The 19,444-nt window shown below is 40.3% G+C and overlaps 1 protein-coding gene and 1 long non-coding RNA gene across 4 annotated transcripts in view, besides 2 other annotated features; one reads left to right on the top strand and one right to left on the bottom strand.

The window, feature by feature from the left end:
* OTUD7B (OTU deubiquitinase 7B) overlaps positions 1-19,444 on the top strand; it is a 129,842-nt gene that overhangs the window by 31,835 nt on the left and 78,563 nt on the right. The window lies entirely within an intron of this gene.
* LOC124904413 (uncharacterized) overlaps positions 1-19,444 on the bottom strand; it is a 45,061-nt gene that overhangs the window by 21,705 nt on the left and 3,912 nt on the right. The window lies entirely within an intron of this gene.
* Positions 17,371-18,028: an enhancer, noted in NCBI's record as "H3K27ac hESC enhancer chr1:149989751-149990408 (GRCh37/hg19 assembly coordinates)". NCBI's record gives its function as "activates a minimal SCP1, AML or CMV promoter by ChIP-STARR-seq in naive H9 embryonic stem cells {active_cell/tissue: H9 hESC(naive)}" and the evidence as "EXISTENCE:reporter gene assay evidence [ECO:0000049][PMID:30033119]".
* Positions 18,029-18,688: an enhancer, noted in NCBI's record as "NANOG-H3K27ac hESC enhancer chr1:149989091-149989750 (GRCh37/hg19 assembly coordinates)". NCBI's record gives its function as "activates a minimal SCP1, AML or CMV promoter by ChIP-STARR-seq in naive H9 embryonic stem cells {active_cell/tissue: H9 hESC(naive)}" and the evidence as "EXISTENCE:reporter gene assay evidence [ECO:0000049][PMID:30033119]".

The raw sequence follows: 19,444 nt of genomic DNA, 5'->3' as shown, positions 1-19,444 counted from the left end.
AACTAGGGTCCCAATCTTAACTTTATCCCCTCACCAGTTGTGTGGCTTGACTCTCTGGGCATCAGTGTCCTTATCTGTCCCATGAGGATATTGTTAGCTACTCTGCAGGTTTGGTGTGAAAATAAGGATTATCCCCCTACCTAGCACTGTTCTTGGCACACAATGCTAATATTAACTGAGTACCTACTATTATTGCAACTGTAAAAATGACGTAAGCCTAAGGAAGACAATAGAAACATATACATATGGTAACCCTTGCATTAGGGTTGTGGTTGGCATATTGTTTTTCTCTTTTCTAGAGACTGGAACCCAGGCAGCTGATGGTTCTGTGTTAGAGGACATTAGATGCTCTAAATAGCACTGTATTTTGTCAGTGAGGGCATCCATGCCACCCATACCTGAACCCTGTGTTCCCCTCTCTGTCTCTGAGGCTTAGGCCTCCCGGACTCAGGCTGCCTTTTTCTCCCCTGCTGTTATGACCACTCGTTTCTTGGGCTCAATTTCTCCCAAGCCTAGCTCTGGATTGGATTACTGTATTACCAATATATCACTAATCAGAAAATATTTAAGTATTGGGAAGCTGTCAAGTGTTGGTCTTATGAAAAAAGCTGTTAAAATCAGTTATGCAGTGTACTGTATTAGTACTCTAAATCATACTGACCTTTTTTTTTTTTGAGATGAAGTTTCGCTCTTGTTGCCCAAGCTGTAGTGCAATGGCGCGATCTCAGCTCACTACAACCTCTGCCTCCTGGGTTCAAGCGATTCTCCTGCCTCATCCTCCTGAGTAGCTGGGATTACAGGTGCACACCACCATGCCTGGCTAATTTTTTGTATTTTTAGTTGAAACGGGGTTTCATCATGTTAGCCAGGGTGGTCTCAAACTCCTGATTTCAGGTGATCTTCCTGCCTTAGCCTCTCAAAGTGCTGGGATTACAGGTGTGAGCCACCGTGCCTGGCTCATAATGACATTTTTAAAGGCCCATAAGTAAACATAAAATAATAAAGCCGCAATGTTCAAAATATGCTATTTTGAACAAGTCAAAGCCTATGCATATATTTATATTTTTGGACAAATCTAATGGCATAACAATACCAAAAAATACTAAAAACACAGGCATTTTAATTCTAGCATCAGAAAACAGATTTCTAGATTATTCTGACAGAGTCCTATTCTGCTAAATGCCAGAGGGTTGAGCTGCTTCACATGTTTGCAGAAATGATTTCTTTTTTTAAAGTAGCTCTGTCAGCTGGGAGCAGAAACAGAGAAAGAACAAGCTTGCTGAATGAGGATGGGTTGGAGTTGGCCAGAACTCCTGTCATAATTCTGTCACTGGCATTCTTGCTGCAGCTAGCAGAAACTATGTGTGTGTGATATCTATAGGGCTGTCATCTACATCTAACTTAAAGTGCTTATGTGAGTAATTTTTGAGTTCTAACTGCAGGTATGGTGCTGGTTATGACCCTAATAGGCAGCAATGGACATGTGTTTATTATTATATTGGAGCAGACTTTGCCTTAGTTCCCTAATCTAGAATTGATCCCAATACCTTTAATCATATCCCACAGACTTATTAGGGCCAAACTATGTATATGAAAGTCTTTTGAGAAATTAAAAGTACTAAATGAAACAGATTTATTAGTAATAACTGCTTAGAGACATTCTAATGTCATGGTTTTGGAGTTAAACTAGCTTGGGCTTGAATCCTGGCTTTGCCACTTATCATGTAACTTTAAACAAGTCTCCTTAACCTGTGTGATCCTCAGTGTTGTCCATTATAATTCTTAAAATAATATTATTAGGCTGGGTGCGGTGGCTCACGCCTGTAATCCCAGCACTTTGGGAGGCTGAGGTGGGCGGATCATAAGGTCAAGAGATTGAGTCCATCCTGGCCAACATGGTGAAACCTGGTCTCTACTAAAAATACAAAAATTAGCTGGGTGTGGTGGCGCACACCTGTAGTCCCAGCTACTTGGGAGGCTGAGGCAGGAGAATCGCTTAAACCTGGGAGGTGGAGGTTGCAGTGAGCCAAGTTCGCGCCACTATACTCCAGTCTGGTGACAGCGAGATTCCATCTCAAAAAAAATTATTAATATGTATAGTACATACTAATATTGATAATATGTCATAATATTAGTATGTATTGTTGTGAGGATGAATGAAGGCAAAATGCTTGCTACGGTGCTTAAACATAGTAAAATGAGCAGTAGATGATAACTACTGTTACTGTTAACACTACATGGTAGAGATTAGCAGAGACTAAAAATATCCTATATTTTAACTCCTCTTTTTTACCACTGGCAAGTTCTTTGTGACATAAAGACACTGGATAATATTGAAGTGTTGATGTTAAGGATAATATTGATGGCTATAGTTAGGATTATTGCCTTCCTCCAACTATTTCACTTAGTTGTCTGGGCAGCAGGGAAAAGAATGAGTTTGGGAGGCTGGAGGGAAGAATATTTTGTCCTCAAAAGGCCATATTTAAAAGATGTATATTATTTTATTATTAGATTTTTTGGGCAAAAGTTTTAAAAGTGATAATACAGATATCAATAACGTCAGAAAAGTGGGCTGGTAGAAATGTACAGTAGTACAATTTTTTTATAAGGTAATTGAGCAATACATATTAAAGGTCTTAAACGCATTCAGACTTTGACCCAGCATTTTTATTTTTAGGAAAAGAGATGTAGAAAATAAGTATAACAAAGATTTATAGATGTTCTTCCCAGCATTATTTATAATAGTGGGTCAAAAAAAAGTTAAATGTCTAACAATGGAAACTGAGTAATTACAGAATGTCCTAGTCATGTAATAAGATAATATGCAGTTACTAAAAATTATGTTGGGGGTTAAAAACTCAAATGCCTTCAGTTGTTTAGCAAGTAAAGTATATGTGTGAAGACACTAGGGATTGGTGAGGACGGTGGTGAACTGGAGAGTTTATATTCCACGTGGAGGCATTAATTTACATTATAAAAGAATACTGTTTTGGCCAAGACACGATTAAATTCTATCCACAGGTTTACCAGTTTGAAACATCTACTGTTGAAGAATTTTAAAATGTGGGAAGATACTCATGGTATACTTTCTTCTTCTTCTTCTTCCTCCTCCTCCTCCTCCTCCTTCTTCTTCTTCTTATTCCTCTTCCTCCTCTTCTTCCTCTTCTTTTCTTCTTTTCTTCTTTTAACAGGATTTTGCTCTGTCGCCCAGGCTAGAGTACAGTGGCAAGATCATGTCTCACTGCAGCCTTAAACTCCTGGTCTCAATCAATCCTCCCACCTCAATTTACCAAGTAGCTAGGACTACAGGCATGCACCACCATACCTGGCTATTTTTTTTTTTTTTTTTTTTTCTGTAGACAGGTTCTTGCTATGTTGCCCAAGCTAGTCTCGGAACTCCTGGGCTCAAGCAGTCCTCCCAATTTAGCCGCCAAAAGTGCTGGACTACAGTCTTGAGCCACCATGCCTGGCCTCATGGTGTGCTTTTTTTTTTCTTTTATTTTTTTGAGACAGAATTTCGCTCTTATTGCCCAGGCTGGAGTGCAATGGCGGGATTTCGGCTCACTGCAACCTCCGCCTCCCGGGTTCAAGCGATTCTCCTGCCTCAGCCTCTTGAGTAGCTGGGATTACAGGTGTGTGCTACAATGCCCAGCTAATTTTTTGTATTTTTAGTAGAGACGGGGTTTCACCATGTTGGCCAGGCTGGTCTCGAACTCCTGACCTCAAGTGATCCACCCGCCTCAGCCTCCCAAAGTGCTGGGATTACAGGCATGAGCCACCGTGCCTGGCCTTATGGTGTGCTTTTAAGTGACAAAAGCAAATAAGAAAACATAGGTAAAGAATGGTTCCAATACTTTTTAAAGTATGTGTGTTTATAGTTATATCTCTTCTCTGTTGGTCTGTCTTATCTATCTGGAAGGATATTTGCCAAAACAATAATAGCAAATACTTAACATAGACCTTATTATGTGCCAGAGAGTGTTTTAAGCACTTCACATATGTTAGCTCATTTAATTCTCATAGCAATAATAGGTACTATCACTATCTCTGCTTTACAGATGATAAAGCTGAGACATAGACAGGTTAAGTCACTTGCCCAAGGTCAAAGAGCTGGAAGGTGGTAGAGCTGGGATTCAAGCTTAGGCAGCAGAGTCTGGGCTCTTAACTACTATGCTATATTAAAACCAAAATGTTATGACTTGTCTGATTTTTGTGTGTGTGTGCTTTTTATTTTCTATATTTTGGTGCTTAAAATTTTTTCAACAATAAAAATGTATTTTATAATTAGAAAAAGCACAGCGTTTTATTAAAAATGCACATTTATTGCCTAGGCATGTGCTTCTTTTGGCTTCTCCAATTACTGTTCTCTATTAATGAAAATTAGTTTGTCTGACTTGCTGGCTGAAATCTTAGACCCTGAGGAAATAAAAAATAGGACAGGTAAATTTTATGGCAGTAGAAGGGAAAGTAACAGGCTCTGTGGGACAGCAGAAGAGCACTGAGCCAGAAACAGCAAGATGAGGTTAATGAGGAGTATAATGCAGGTAGTTGTCACCAGAGAAAAGTTTTGTTTAGGCCTAGCCTTGTGCCTCATCTAAAATATGGTGGCATCGTGCTCTTTCATGTTACTTAAATTTTTCTTTAATTTATTTAACAAATATTCGTTAGATTTCTTCTTGCTGGGCACAATCAAGAATACAATGAAAAATCAGATAAGGGGATAAAAATAAAAATAAAAAATAGAGGCCAGGTGCCATGGCTCATGCCTGTAATCCCAATACTTTGAGAGGCCAAGGCAGGTGAATCACCTGAGGTCAGGAGTTCGAGGACCCAGCCCAGCCAACATGGTGAAACCCTGTCTCTACTAAAAATACAAAATTAGCCAGTGTGGTGGCGGGCCTGGGTGACAAGAGCAAAAGTCTCTCAAAAAACAAAAACAAGAAAAACTGTGCAGTAACTGCACAGACAAAAATTCAAAGCTATATTCAATGACAAAACAGAACACATAGGTAAACAATAGTAATCATGAAAGGGTGACAAGTACAGCTGCTACAGACATTTGCTAGAACAGTTTCAGTGAACTGGTGGAAATGGAAGCCCAATTCAAGTGGTTTGAAGAGCAAATGGGAGTTGAGGAAGTAGAGAGGAGAGATTTGGTGTACATTTCAAGAAGCTCATTTGTGAGGAAGCTCAGCAGTTTAAAGGAGACACAGGTTCCAACGAATGTTTTATGAAGCTGACTTTTGCTTTATTTGTTTTAAAATGAGGGTGCTGTGGGCTGTAGGGAGGAATCCAGGAGAGAAAGAGAAATGGAAAATATAGAAGATAAATGAAACATTAATGGCACAAATTCCCTGAGGAAGCAGAAGGGGATAAAACTATGAACAATAACGGGGAATGTTAACCTTGAACAGAAGGGGCATTTCGAAGGGGCATTTCCTCTACGCTAGAGGGAAGGGTTTTTGTTCAGAAACTTGTGTGAGATAAGGATAGATTCAGCTGTAAACAGCCTTATAAATGTAGGGCCTGGAGGGTAAGGAAATTCCTTCCCATCCACACCAAGGCCTCAATTTTCTAAGTGAACTGGGAGATTAGGTCATCTTTTGAGAAGGAGCAAGGTGATGGTCATAAAGGAAGATGGTGGTTAAAGTTTAGAATCGTGACTGAAGGAATGAGAGAAGCGTTTTCTAACTTAAATTTGATATTTAAAAATTTGTATTGTTATCAATCCACAGGTGTAATTTTCCCCAGCTGTACTTAGAATGCAGTAGCAGAGAAATCAGTTTGACTGATCCAACATTAGGAGTTCATGAATTATGTATGTAAGGACAAGAGAGAACCAGTGCATGAACAGTTTGACTATGGGACCTGGGCTCTTCTAGATAGACTCAGAGAAAATGAAGATATCTAGAACTTGAGCTGGCTGTGGTGCTAAAAGAGGGGTGTGGAGAGTATGAGGGGTAAACAGATGGAGGGATAGGAGATTTGTATAGGTTGTGGATTACTGGACTTTTAAGATTTCAGAGACGACAGCATCTTTGGAGAACCCATTGCACCTTCCCTGCTATATGACCTAGGGTGAGTTACTGAAATATTTTGGATCCTCTGTTTCTTATATGAAAAATGGGAAGCCAAGAGAATGCAACCACCAAATTGCTTGTCCTGGAGACTGTGGACTCTGAGAGAATGAACAACCTCTACTGGAGACAGTGGCAAATAAACGCTTTCCTTGAGCTTTCTTTGGGCTAAATTGTTGAAACTTCTCTTGGACCCTCCAGTAAGTTCATTCTTGAGCTATTGCTTCTAGAAATCTAAAGCATCCTTAAGCAATAGGGTCATAAATGCAGTTACTTACTATAGTTACTTATGTGCCAAACATAAGTCTTCTAAGTATCAAGAATGACCTCGCTTGAATCACAATTCAAATATAGATAGAATTGTTGGTGTTCCATAGCCTGCTGATATCAGAACCCTGGACAATGGGTTTAATCAAGCAACAGTTTGTGGGTGGATGGGTCCTTCTGTCAACATACCACAGTAGGGATTGTTGTTTTATCACTGAAACTTTCCTATTAAACTTATAACAATTTTGACAAAAATTATTCATCTAATTAACTGTATAGATAAATATATTCTCTCTGGTATCTTTTGAGATTTGGAAACAAAACTGAATTTCCTAACTCACCATCAATTCAACTATTTTTCTAGTATATTTATTGAATATAGCCGATACTAGAGATTATTAATATATAATTGTAATTCATAAAAACAGTACAGTTCACCAAATGTTCATCAGCATATGAATTGATAAAATATGCTATATATACACAATGGAATATTATTCAGCCTTAAAAAGGAAGGAAATTCTGACATATGCTACAATATGGATGAACCTTGAGGACATTATGCTAGGTAAAATAAGCCAGTCACAAAAAAAGACAAATACTATATGTATGATTTCACTTATTCAAAGTACCTAGAGCAACCAGGCGTGGTGGCTCACGCCTGTAATCCCAGCTTCTTGGGAGGCTGAGGCAGGAGAATCGCTTGAACCTGGGAGGCGGAGGTTGCAGTGAGCTGAGACTGTGCCATTGCACTCCAGCCTGGGCAACAAGAGCGAAACCCTGTCTCAAAAAGCACAAAGTACATAAAGCAATAAAAAATATAGAGACAGAAAGTAGAATGGTGGTTGCCAAGGGTTAGGGGGAACAGGGAGAATGGAGACTTATTGTTTAATGAATATAGTGTTTCAGTTTTGCAAAGTGAAAAGAATTCTGGAGTTGGATGGTGGTCATGATTGCACAACAATATTGATGTGCTTAATACCATTGAACTGTATATGGTACTTAAAAATGGCTAAGATACTGTAGTACATTTGTATTATGTGTATTTTACCACAATTAAAAAAAATGGAAAAAAAACCCACAGTGAAGTGTTTAATTTTTCTTTCACATTGCCTTTTCTCTTAATTTGGCTTTGCCCAGGTTCTCTTGAGAATCCCGAACCTTTTATTAGGCCAAATGATCTTGATTGTATTGAATCCAATGATCACTTTAGCTTGAGCTGGGCTCTACAGAACTTGTTAATGCTTGCTTGGCTCTATGTGTTTGGCTTCATGGTATCTGTTGTGTTAAGGATACTATTGACAACTGCATCCTAGAGCCTTGTCAAACCTGTTTGATTTAAATAAATAACTCTTTTGAGAAAAATAGTTATGTACAGATGATCTAGTGAAAACATAAGTATTATTGAATACCACCTACTATCTAAAAAGTTAATTTTCCTATTTAAGGGAATTCAGCCTAAAATTATGGTTTTGTGATTCAGATAGTGATATGTTATTTTGGATACTTCAGAAAGCTTTTTTAATTGTATTTTTTCCTTGTATTAAAAATGTCTGAGAAATTCATATGGTCTTGACTAATTAATCATCTCAATATTTTGAACTCACCAAATTAGTCAGTTTTTTAATTATTCTACTTAAAATCTCTCAGGATAAAATAGAATAGAATATAATTATTTCATAGGGAAATAATAAAGAAAAGAAATATTTCCAATTTGGAATTTTAAGAAAATACACTTTTTTTTTTTAGCAGTTATCCTTTTAGCACTAAAGGACACTAGCAGATTATTATAAGAAATCTTCTTTGGCAGATGAAGTTAGAAATGTCAAGTTGATCACTTCTGCTTTTGTGCCATTGATTATCTTATTTACTTATTTATTTATTTTTTGAGATGGAGTCTCACTCTGTTGCCTAGGTTGGAGTGCAGCGGCCTGATCTCAGCTCAGTGTAGCCTCTGCCTTCTAGGTTCAACCGATTCTCCTGCCTCAGCCTCTCAAGTAGCTGGGACTACAGGTGTGCACTACCATGCCCAGCTAATTTTTTGTAGTTTTAGTAGAGACGGGATGTCACCACGTTGGCCAGGCTGGTCTCAAACTCCTAACGTCAGGTGATCCACCCACCTCAGCCTCCCAAAGTGCTGGGATTACAGGTGTGAGCCACTGTGCCCGGCTTTACCTTTTATATTTCTGCATGGTATTATAATTATTTATTACCTCTCTGTATTCCCTATAGAAGATGAGGACCTTGAAGTTAGAGATAGTGCTATAATCTTATATCCCTAGAGCCTAGTTAACAGGTGCTAGGTTCGGTAGGTGATTGTTCAGAATCACCTGATATAATACAGCCCAATACAACACAACAGAACACAACACAGTACAATACAATGTAATACCTTTGATTTACGTTATCTGAAGGCTGAAAGTTGGAGACTATTTAGCAGGAACACATCACATGATTAATGGCTTCCACTGATTATGAATATAGTATAGCTTTAACTGTTTAGAAATTTCATTTCTAAGTATTTCTACAATTTATATAAATTCTAAATATAAATATACTTTTGATTGCAAATTACAGAATCCTAGATGGAATGAGCTTAAGCAGTAATCGGAGACATATTGGTTTATATGGCCAATCTGCAGAAAGGGTAAGGGTGGATTTATTTTTATGGATGACTGGCACCAAGAGCTTGGATATTATTCAGAAATTTCTCATTTCTCTCTCTTCACTTTTCACTTTTCTCTTTCCGTACTGGCTTTATTCTTTTAAGTTGCTGTCACCGTATCTCAACTATAGCCTTAAGTAGCCCTGGGCTTATATATTTATGACCTTGTAACCCGAGAAAAATTCAGTTAGAAAATCCCAGGAAAGGGCTCTCATAGGTCACATTTGGACTATGTGTTACCTTTGCACAAATCACTGAGGATAAGGCAGACGGAGGTATTATGCTTGAAACAAGCTGGGTTAGGAACTTATCTCTACCATCAGGGAAGTGGGATACTGTTATAGGCAAGTCCCTTCAAAATCACATGGTTGCAGAAGGAGAGAACCATTCTCTCCAAAGAATAAAAGTACTGTTATGATGAGACAAAATAATAAATAAATATTCATTGCATGGTCTATGATATATGTTGCTAGTTTTCTTCTAATTTCCATCTGGCCTTCTTTCTTAGTAAAAGAATTTTTAATTTTAACCTGGCAAATGGCCACCCAGAATAAATAATGCTCATATCAGCCTCCTTTGCAGCTGAGTGTGATCATGTTCTGATCCAAGTTCTGGCCAATGGATGTAAGCAAAATATTGTATGCACCTTCCAGGAAGTGTTCTTAAACTGAAGGGTCATGCACTTTCTCAGTCCTTCCTGCTCCCTTTGGAAAACACTGGAAGGCCTATTTCTCCATAAAATTCTAGGAATCTCCAAGGAATGCTTGTATTTTCTAAAATTCATATTGGTAGTCACTTGTCCTGTTCGCCAAGTGCCCTCACTCAAGGCCATTCAAGCTCCAGAGCTCTGCAGATCCTTCTTGCAACCTGACAAACAGACTATCAGAGCTCTGTGTCTCCTCTGCTCTTTTGTCTCAAGTATGAACAGAGCACCTGACCACATCTCTTTTTTCAGTTGTGTAATTCATGTGGGGGCTTATTTCCCTGCCACAATAATTGCTCTAGGGCTAGAAAACTGACCCAAACAAAATATTTCACTATCCCCTATATTAGACATAATGTATTTGTCTGAGGATGGTCACCTGACCCAATATGGTCTGATCAGAGCCTTTCCATCAGATTTTTGAATTCACACAGAGAAAGGTAGTCTTAGGTCCTTTCTGGTGGTGAGCACTGTAAGATGTGAGGCTCTGAAGTTGATATTCCCCTCTGGTGTGGAAGAAGTCAGTCTGTAGTGGGAGAGAATAATGCTCACATGCAGAAAGAAGTTGTAATAGAGGCTACAGAGAATTCTGGAAACATTTTAGCCCTGGGTTTCAGTCTTTCCTGAGGTCTATTTGTGTGTGTGTGTGTGTGTGTGTGTGTGTGTGTGTGTGTTTTGTTTGCTTGTTTTTGAAACAGAGTTTCGCTCTTGTTGCCCAGGCTGGAGTGCAATGGCACGATCTCGGCTCACTGCAACCTCCGCCTCCTGGGTTCAAGCGATTCTCCTGCTTCAGCCTCCCAAGTAGCTGGGATTACAGGCATGTGCCACCATGCCCAGTTGTATTTTTAGTAGAGACAGGGTTTCTCCATGTTGGTTAGGCTGGTCTCGAACGCGTGACCTCAGGTGATCCACCTGTCTCAGTCTCCCAAAGTGCTGGGATTACAGGCATGAGGCACCGCGCCCAGCCCCTGAGACCTATCTTATATTTTATCTTCTCTAACTCAGTTCAGATAAGGTTGTGGTGGGTTTTTTTGTTTGTTTTGTTTTGTTTTTGTTTTTGAGACAGAGTCTCACTCTGTCACCCAGGCTGGAGTGCAGTGGTGTGATCTCAGCTCACTGCAACCTCTGCCTCCTGGGTTCAAGTGATTTTCCTCTCTCAGCCTCCCGAGTAGCTGGGACTACAGATGTGTGCCACCACACCTGGCTAATTTTTGTATTTTTAGTAGAGATGGGGTTTCACCATGTTGGCCAGGCTGGTCTTGAACTCCTGACCTCAAGAGATCCGCCCGCCTTGGCCTCCCAAAGTGCTGGGATTACAGGCGTGAGCCACCACGCCCGGCTAATTGTGGTGTTTTCTAAAACTTCACTGAAGACTTTTAAAGAAAGCGTTGTTGAGAGGATTGAGTGAGAAACCATCAATTCTTTAGCTTTCCATGTGCTACACATATACCACATTCTAAAATGGCAGCTGCTATTAGTTCTATTTATTGAGGCATTTGTTCTCCAATATCTGTATTTATATATTTATAATTCTTGTTGTATATCTTAGGCTAAACTCCTAAAATATTAATTTCTCCAGTTTTTGAGAAGGACACTAAAAATAGCATGCAGATCAGTATCTTTAACCCTATTTAACATTCTTCATCAAGCCATCTGTTTCTAGGCTTTATCACCTTGTACTCAAATCCCTGATCCTCTTTATTGTTCTCTTCCTATTTAAGCTAATGTCCCCTCATAAGTCTGTGAGATCCTTCATTCCGGAGTGCAGAGGCGATAATCAGGAACAAGCTCCTGCCAGAAAAACTGTTACCTTGACATTATTATATGCCCTGGTCTCATTCTTAACAAAAAATGAAAATGGCTTTATTTGAAAGGACTTAAGAGTTGGTGATCTAAAACAAATCACAGGCTCTTAGAAAAGCTAAGGAGGAACTAGATTTAACTTGTGGAATGGAATATTTATTCCACCTTGTGCAGATAAGTGCTCAGAAATTGTTTTTGTTGATAAACTAAATAGTGGCACTCTATTGAGAAATAATTGTCTCTCATGTCCTTAGCACTGGCCACTATCTGATGTGTCAAAATTAGGAAGGTAATAGTACTGCTGCCAATTAAAGTGCTTGTTCAATTATGTCATTACTCATTAACATATGCAGGAGGAAGCTGGAATACCTTTAAAACTTTTTAAATTGACAAATAATGATTATATATTTATAAGGGTAAAATGTGATGTTTTTATATATGTATACATGTAGAAAGATTAAAATCAAGCTAACTAACATATCCATCACCTAGCCTACCTTTTTTGTGTGGCAAGAACATTTGAAATCTACTCTTTTAGCGATTTTGAAATATATAAAACCTTATTATTAACCAAGGTCGTCATGCTGCACAACAGATCTCTAAAACTTACTCTTTTTGTGTAACTGAAACTTTGTATCCTTTGACCAACATCTCTGCTTTCTCTATCCCTGCACCACAGCCTCTGGTAACCACCATTCTACTCTCTGTGTCTATGAATTCAACTTTTTTAGATTCCACATATAAGTGAGATTATACGGTATCTGTCTTTCTGTACCTGACTCACTTCACTTAGCCTATGTCCTTCAGGTTCATCCATGTTGTAAATAAGATTTCCTTCTTCTTCAAGGCTCTCTGGTATTCCACTGTGTATATATACCACATTTTCTGTGTCTGTTTATATGCTGATGGACATTTAGGTTGCTTCTATGTCTTGGCTATTGTGAATAATGCTGCAACAAACATGGGAGTGCGTATATCTCTTTGATGCACTGATTTCGATTTCTTTGGATATGTACTCAGAAGTTGAATTGCTGGATTTTATGGTAATTCTATATTTATTTTTTGAGGAACCTCCACACTGTTTTTCAAAATGGTTGTACAAATTTACATTCCCACAAACAGTGGGCTGGGTCCCCTTTTCTCCATATTCTTGGAAACACTTACCTTTCATGTTTTTGATAAAAGCTATTCTGGGTCGTCTAGTGACTAAGATTCACCTTTGTGCATCTGAAGTCAATACTTCTTAATTCTGCTTTCAGAACATATACCAGGTGAGAGGGATTTCTGTTTTTTCTAGTACCCAGTTCTACACTGCCAGTGATCATTTAATTGTGATAAATCTCTTGCCACAATGGTGGCAAACACTATGACCTTACTGGATGCTAATGCTGTTTGTTGCTGTGGTTGCTGTGGCTGCTGCTGGGTAAAGAGACTCCTTGGGCTCTTTAGTAAATAGGGCACTTTGAGATATTTCTTTTTTCTCTTGGGTTCTTAAAAATACATACCATTGGATATAAGATAAATCTGGTGGGATACTAAAGAGTTAAATAAAAGTAAATGGAGAGTGACTCTTAACTGATCGGCCCAGGTAAACTTCCACTTGTTGTAGTGGCTTGCAGAAGCCTGTTTTAGAGACATAGTGATGTCATTAGATGGCCTGTGGTGTCTCTTGATGCCCACAAGTCTCCTGTCTGCATTTCCAATGAGCTCCCAGGTGAGGCACTACCGCTAGGCTGGGAAACACACCCTGAAGCCGTGAAGTGTGTGCTCTGCACATGTGATCACATGTGGTTACGGCTCTTTTCAACAATCCCAGTTACCAACGGCTGGAGTTGCTCTCTCAGCCAGATCAGCTGCCTCAGACCTTCAGCATGTAGTTATTTTTTTTTTTTTTTTTTTTTTTTTTTGTAGAGAGTTTCGCTCTGTCACCCAGGCTGGAGTGCAATGGCACGATCTTGGCTCACCACAACCTCTGCCTCCCGGTTTCAAGCGATTCTCCTGCCTCAGCCTCCTGAGTAACTGGGATTACAGGCATGCGCCAACACGCCTGGCTAATCTTTGTATTTTTAGTAGAGACGGGGTTTCACCATGTTGGCCAGGCTGGTCTCGAACTCCCGACCTCAGGTGATCCACCTGCCTCAGCCTTCCAAAGTGCTGGGATTACTGGTGTGGGCCACCATGCCCAGCCCAGCATGAGATTTTACAGTATTTGACACAGCTAAAGACTGTGGAACTAGTCTTGACTTGACCCATTACTTCCATTAAAAGTTCCAGGCTCAGGCTGGGAAGCAGGAAGAATGATTAAGGAGAGAGAGAAAGGGAGAGTTTAGATTATTCTTCATGTTGGAATAAGAAGCTGTATTCTAAATGACTGGATTAGATGTTGTTTCAGTGGCAAGAGAAAGTCTGGAGTAACCACTGCATCTGTAATGTTAATGAATTTTAAATGTTAACATTCACACCTTTTTTCTCCCTTCTGCCTCTCTTTAGGAAAGCTGCTAAATTTGCTGGTGATATGCACATTTTAATGAATCTTATATATGCTTCATAAATCTTGTTGACTAATTAGTAAACCCATTTTATCATGCAAGAAGTATTCACTGAGCACTAGAACTTGGATTCCACTGGGCTGGTGCTGTCGTGTCTTCTCTCATTAAATCCAATGCGGACTTAGTTCAGGTTCACTCATCCCATACAGGGAGCTCTGGGGCTCCACCTGTTTCACTCTGTAGCACTGGTTCCTTTCACCTCATATCTGCTTTAACTACTGGACTTGGGTTTACTGAGTTCCTGATCTCTGACTTCATCTCCTATTTTTGGCTCTGAATTTGACCCTTGAACTTGGTAAGATGACAAGATCTCGTTTTTCCAGATTAATATTAACCTTTGCCACACCTCCCCAAATATAGTTTTACATTCACCCTCTGGCTTTGTTCCCTCCCAGCTGCTGTGTGTGAAAACCTGACTCCAGTCCTCCCAGCCTCTAGGACCCTGCCCAGACCTGGCCTACCTTCTTCCTCACCGCCACTGGAAAAAAACAGACGTCAAAAGCCTTAACAAAATACTGTCTGATATAGCAAAATGGAACATGTTTCCTACTAGAAGTATATGACCCGAAGGGGGAAAAATCTGACTCATTTTAAAAACAATTGTTAGGGGTGTGTGTGTTTTGAGAGAAAGAAATAGAAAAGGGCCAATGTATTTGCTATTAAAAAAATCTTCAAAATAACAGAAAAAATTTAAAACTATGTACTCAAAAAATGAATTGCTTTTGTCGTATTAGAAGTCTAGCCAACAGAAGTAAGGGGATGGAGACTGAACCAACCAGAGGAGAAAAGGTGGAAGGCGCTGCCCCAGCAGAGACCAGAACAGGGCCAGATAAAGTTAGGGTCAAAGATCCACACCCTGTTTGGAAACTAAGCAATCAACAAGTGTCAGTTGTTATTTAGGTGCACCAAACATTTTGGGGGGAAATGTGATTTCAGACACAGATAATTATATGATAGGGGCCTATTTGGCTTTCAGAGAAAATTTTCAAGATAAATCAGTAGCTTTAAATAAAAATCTAAGTTTGTAATCAAAGTTTTTCAGAAATAGCAGAGAAACATATTTTCCTTTAAGTAGTTCTCTGTTAATAGTCTCTAGTCTCAAGCAGTTTTAATTTTAAATAGGACTACCTCTAACTTTGTGGGGTCTGGGGCAAGGGTACAAATAGAGGCCCATACAGCATATACCTAGATATTTAATTTTTTGTTTGTTTGTTTTTTGAGATGGAGTCTTGCTCTGTCACCCAGGCTGGAGTGCAGTGGCATGATCTTGGCTCACTGCAACCTCCACCTCCCTAGTTCAAGCGATTCTCCTGCTTCAGTCTCCTGAATAGCTGGGACTACAGGTGCGCGCCACCATGCCTGGCTAATTCTTTGTATTTTTAATAGAGACAGGGTTTCACCATGTTATTCAGGCTGGTCTCGAACTCCTGACCTCAAATGATCCACCCACCTCAGCCTCCCAAAGTGCTGGGATTACAGGCGTGAGCCACTGCGCCTGGCCTGCCATTCCCTTCTTCCAATTCTATTAGGAGGCAGTGTGAAGAATTCTTTCCCTGCTATATGAATTACATCACCTACCTTAAAAGTAGGCAGCTACAGTTGGGGTTGATTGTGTTGTTTTGTTTTTGAGACAGGGTTTCACTCCGTCACCCAGGTTGGAATGTAGTGATGCGATCTCAGTTCACTGCAGCCTCAAACTCCCTGGCTCAAGTGATCCTCTCTCCTCAGCCTCCTGAGTAGCCAGGACTGCAGGCACATACCTGGCTAATTTTAAAAATTTTGTAGAGACAGTGTCTCACTACATTGCCCAGGTTGGTCTTGAACTCCTAGGCTCAAGTGATCTTCCCGCTTCAGCTTCCCAAAGTATTGGGATTACAGGCGTGAGCCACTGCACCTGGCCTGGTTGGGTTCTAAATAACAAGTTTTTCTTTCTCAGTTACACAATGATCCCAGAGCAATCTATGAGCTCTCTGAAATCATTTAGTCCCCTAGGGATGGATCGTGCCAACCACGTGAATAATGATAACAAAGATAATAATATTTACTATTATTTTTATTATTTGCAGTAGATAAATTTCCCTTTAAGGAAAATTGGGCCAGGGCGCCAGTGGCTCACACCTGTAATCCCAACACTTGTGGGGTGGGTGGATCACCGAGTTCAGGAGTTCGAGGCCAACCTGGCCAAAATGGTGAAACCCCATTTCTACTAAAAATACAAAAATTAGCCAGGCATGGTGCCCATGCCTGTAATTCCAGCTACTCAGGAGGCTGAGGCAGGAGGATCTCTTGAACCTGGGAGCCGGAGGTTGCAGTGAGCCGAGATTGTGCTACTGACCTCCAGCCTGGGCAACAGAGCAAGACCCTGTCTCCAAACAAACAAACAAACAAACAAACAAAACAAAGACAATTGGGGGCTTTTGAGCTGGGAAATGATGTGACCAGATCTTAGTTTCAGGCAGGGTGTGAAGAGTAGATGGGAGAAGAGAGACAGGAAAGGCAAGAGACAGTTGTGGAGTTACTTTACAATAGTTTACGTCAGAGGTAATGAGCTAGGGGATTGTAGCAACGTGAATTGAGAAAGGAATAGATATAATGATTCAATGTAGAGGTATTGGCAATGGATTCAGACCTTAAAACAAAAATGCTAACCTAGATTCTGAGCAGGGACACTAGTAACAACTGTGTCCACAGTGTAACCTAATTATTGTAGATGTGTGTATGTCTAGATCGGGGTATTCCATAGGAATAGGCTAGAGAAACATCAACTCACTAGACTGTGCTTTAATTTTAGGAGTAGCCACCATACTGTCTTGCTGAGTGTTAGAAGCTGTTTGCTGCATAAAGGCCTGCAGATATCATTCATATAGAGAAAGAGGGGAGGAGGAAACTAAAGGAAAGGAAAGTCTTGTAGGAAGTAGGAAACCAAGAACAGAATATGCTGTTGGGGCAGTAAGACTCAGCCCTTTCAGCTCCTTTCAGGGATGAATGTTTGCAGTCACAGGCTGCCTTGTCCTTTACACCTTTTGTCTTTTTTCCTGAATAAGATGAAAGATGTCAAGCAGAGAAGGACTTGGACCTCTAACTGCTAGTCTTCTTCATGAAAACTTCTTAAGGGCAATGATTGCATCTTTGCATGCTTTACACATAGTGGGTGCTTAGATACATCAGTAGAATTCATGTAATCGTCATTAATTCCCATTTTGCTGAGTATTTTTTGCTCATATAGAGGGTCTAGATAAGGAAGCAAGCAGTATGACACTAGCTGCAGCATCATATATTGGCAAGTAAGAGGAGAGCTGCCACTTGTGTGTGATCTGCAGCCCGGGGAAGGAGTGGAAGGGCACTGCCTGGGGGCAGCTAGTCTGCTTAAAAGGTGTTGCAGGTCCAGCATCCTTGATTAGCACTTGGGACCTCTTTCTGCCCAGTTTCATTATTTGGCCCCTCAGTTTCCCTTCCTCTTTCCTGCTATAGGCAGTGTTTTATTTTTAAACGTGCCTCAGTTCTTATATTTTTCCCTTGGGTGCTTCTAGAGTACTTTACTCGTATCCATGGATCCCTTCGTAGGTTTTGGTCTTGTTTCACTAATTTCTTTGGACCTCAGGATTTTATCTCTTTTTAAACTAGGAAGGTTACCTACGTAATGGTGACACTTTTCAATTCTAAATTTTTTTCCAACTGAAAATAATGACTTCCATTGACATCTCTATGGTTGTTGCTATGCTTTGCAGGCTCGTCCATAGACCATAAGCAACATGGGAACAGCCACAGTGCTGATCAGGACAGTAATATGGAAATGGAGGGCACGTCAGTGAGAGATTCTAGTAGATGCCAATTAGATATAGTCACTGAACCCCAAAGCTCCCTGATGTGGGGAGAAAAAGCATGTCTTTATAATTTAGGAAATGTTCTTAGTATGTGGTACCTGTTGAGGTCAACCTGGGCCATTAGTCACAAAGAAAAAAGGGGAGTTAATGACAGTGTCAAGTAAATGCCCCAAAGCAATAACCAGAGCCTGATGTAGTGTCAATCTTCTATCCCCTGAATGCTCTGTCAGTTTCCAGTAGCCTGAGTTTGGCCTCCCTCCTAGTGCTGACCTAGTCAGGGGCAGAGTGACTTTGTCATTCCATTCCCAGGCCTCTCCTCATTGCCTGAGCTAAAGTGTTGGTAGTCTTAAGTACATGCTTCCTCCAAGCCTGGGGTGTGTCACCTGTGAGGTGGAGATTAAGCTGACCCACCTGACCTGCATTCCAATTAGGTAAGGTAGCACTTGCTCTCCTCATAGCCTAAGGAACTGGCTTCTTTTCTCTACCTACTTGTTGCTAGGCCTGTAATGGCCTTAGAAGCCCATTCTTACATCCTCAGGGGATTTGTCAGGACCATACTAGAAACACACCCAATCTTGCCAAGGGCCCTTTTTTAATCTCTTAACCCAGCTCTCCTGGGAAACTGTTACTTGCAATAATTGGGAGCTGATAAATCTTATTTACAATAAAGCACCTCCAGTGATTTTAGGGCCTGGAGGCAGGGATTTTCTTCTTAGGAGTTCTCCTAATGCCTAATCCTAGGAACACTTTAGGGAGTGCAGGAAGGTAAGATGGTGTCACTAAACTCCTCTCTTTTGACATTTTTATTATTGCTAAGTATTTTTCATTAATTGATTAAGCGGTTCACTTATGAGCAAATACTTGTGAAAATTAACAATTCAAGGCAATTGCTAAATTCCAGTTGACTGATAAACACATTTATAGTTTAGGATTTAACACAAAGACTTTAAAAGGAGGTGATACAGATTGGGCCTTGAACTCTCTCCAGAGAGAAAACTTAGAGACAGGGGAGACAGTTGGGTGGTAACATGGTGGTTTGCTGGAGTTAGCTCAAGCTGTCTCTTACTGACTTGCTAGAGCCGACTGCACATTTCCCAGCTCCTTGTTCAGCAACATCACATTGGTAGCATGAACTTATCAGTGGTAGAAATATTTGCACCATGAAAATTAGTAACTGCTGGCTGGGCATGGTGGCTTACTCCTGTAATCTCAGCACTTTGGGAGGCCAAGGCGGGTGGATCACCTGAGGTCAGGAGTTCAAGACCAGCCTGGTCAACATGGTGAAACCCCGTGTCTACTAAAAATACAAAATTAGCCAGGCGTGGTGGTGGGTGCCTCTAATCCCAGCTACTCAGGAGGCTGGGGCAGGAGAAGTTTGAACCCGGGAGGCAGAGGTTGCAGTGAGCCAGGATTGTGCCACTGCACTCCAGCCTTGGCGACAAAAGCGAGACTCTGTCTCAAAAAAAAAAAAAAAAAAAGAAAAAGAAAAGAGAAAGAAAATTAGTAAATGTTACAAATCAGGGCTTTTTCACCCTGGAGAACCGGTTGTTAATATT

Source organism: Homo sapiens, chromosome 1, assembly GCF_000001405.40.
Source record: "Homo sapiens chromosome 1, GRCh38.p14 Primary Assembly".
In the NCBI taxonomy this organism is placed as follows: domain Eukaryota; kingdom Metazoa; phylum Chordata; class Mammalia; order Primates; family Hominidae; genus Homo; species Homo sapiens.
This window is presented reverse-complemented; position numbering and strand designations above follow the sequence as displayed.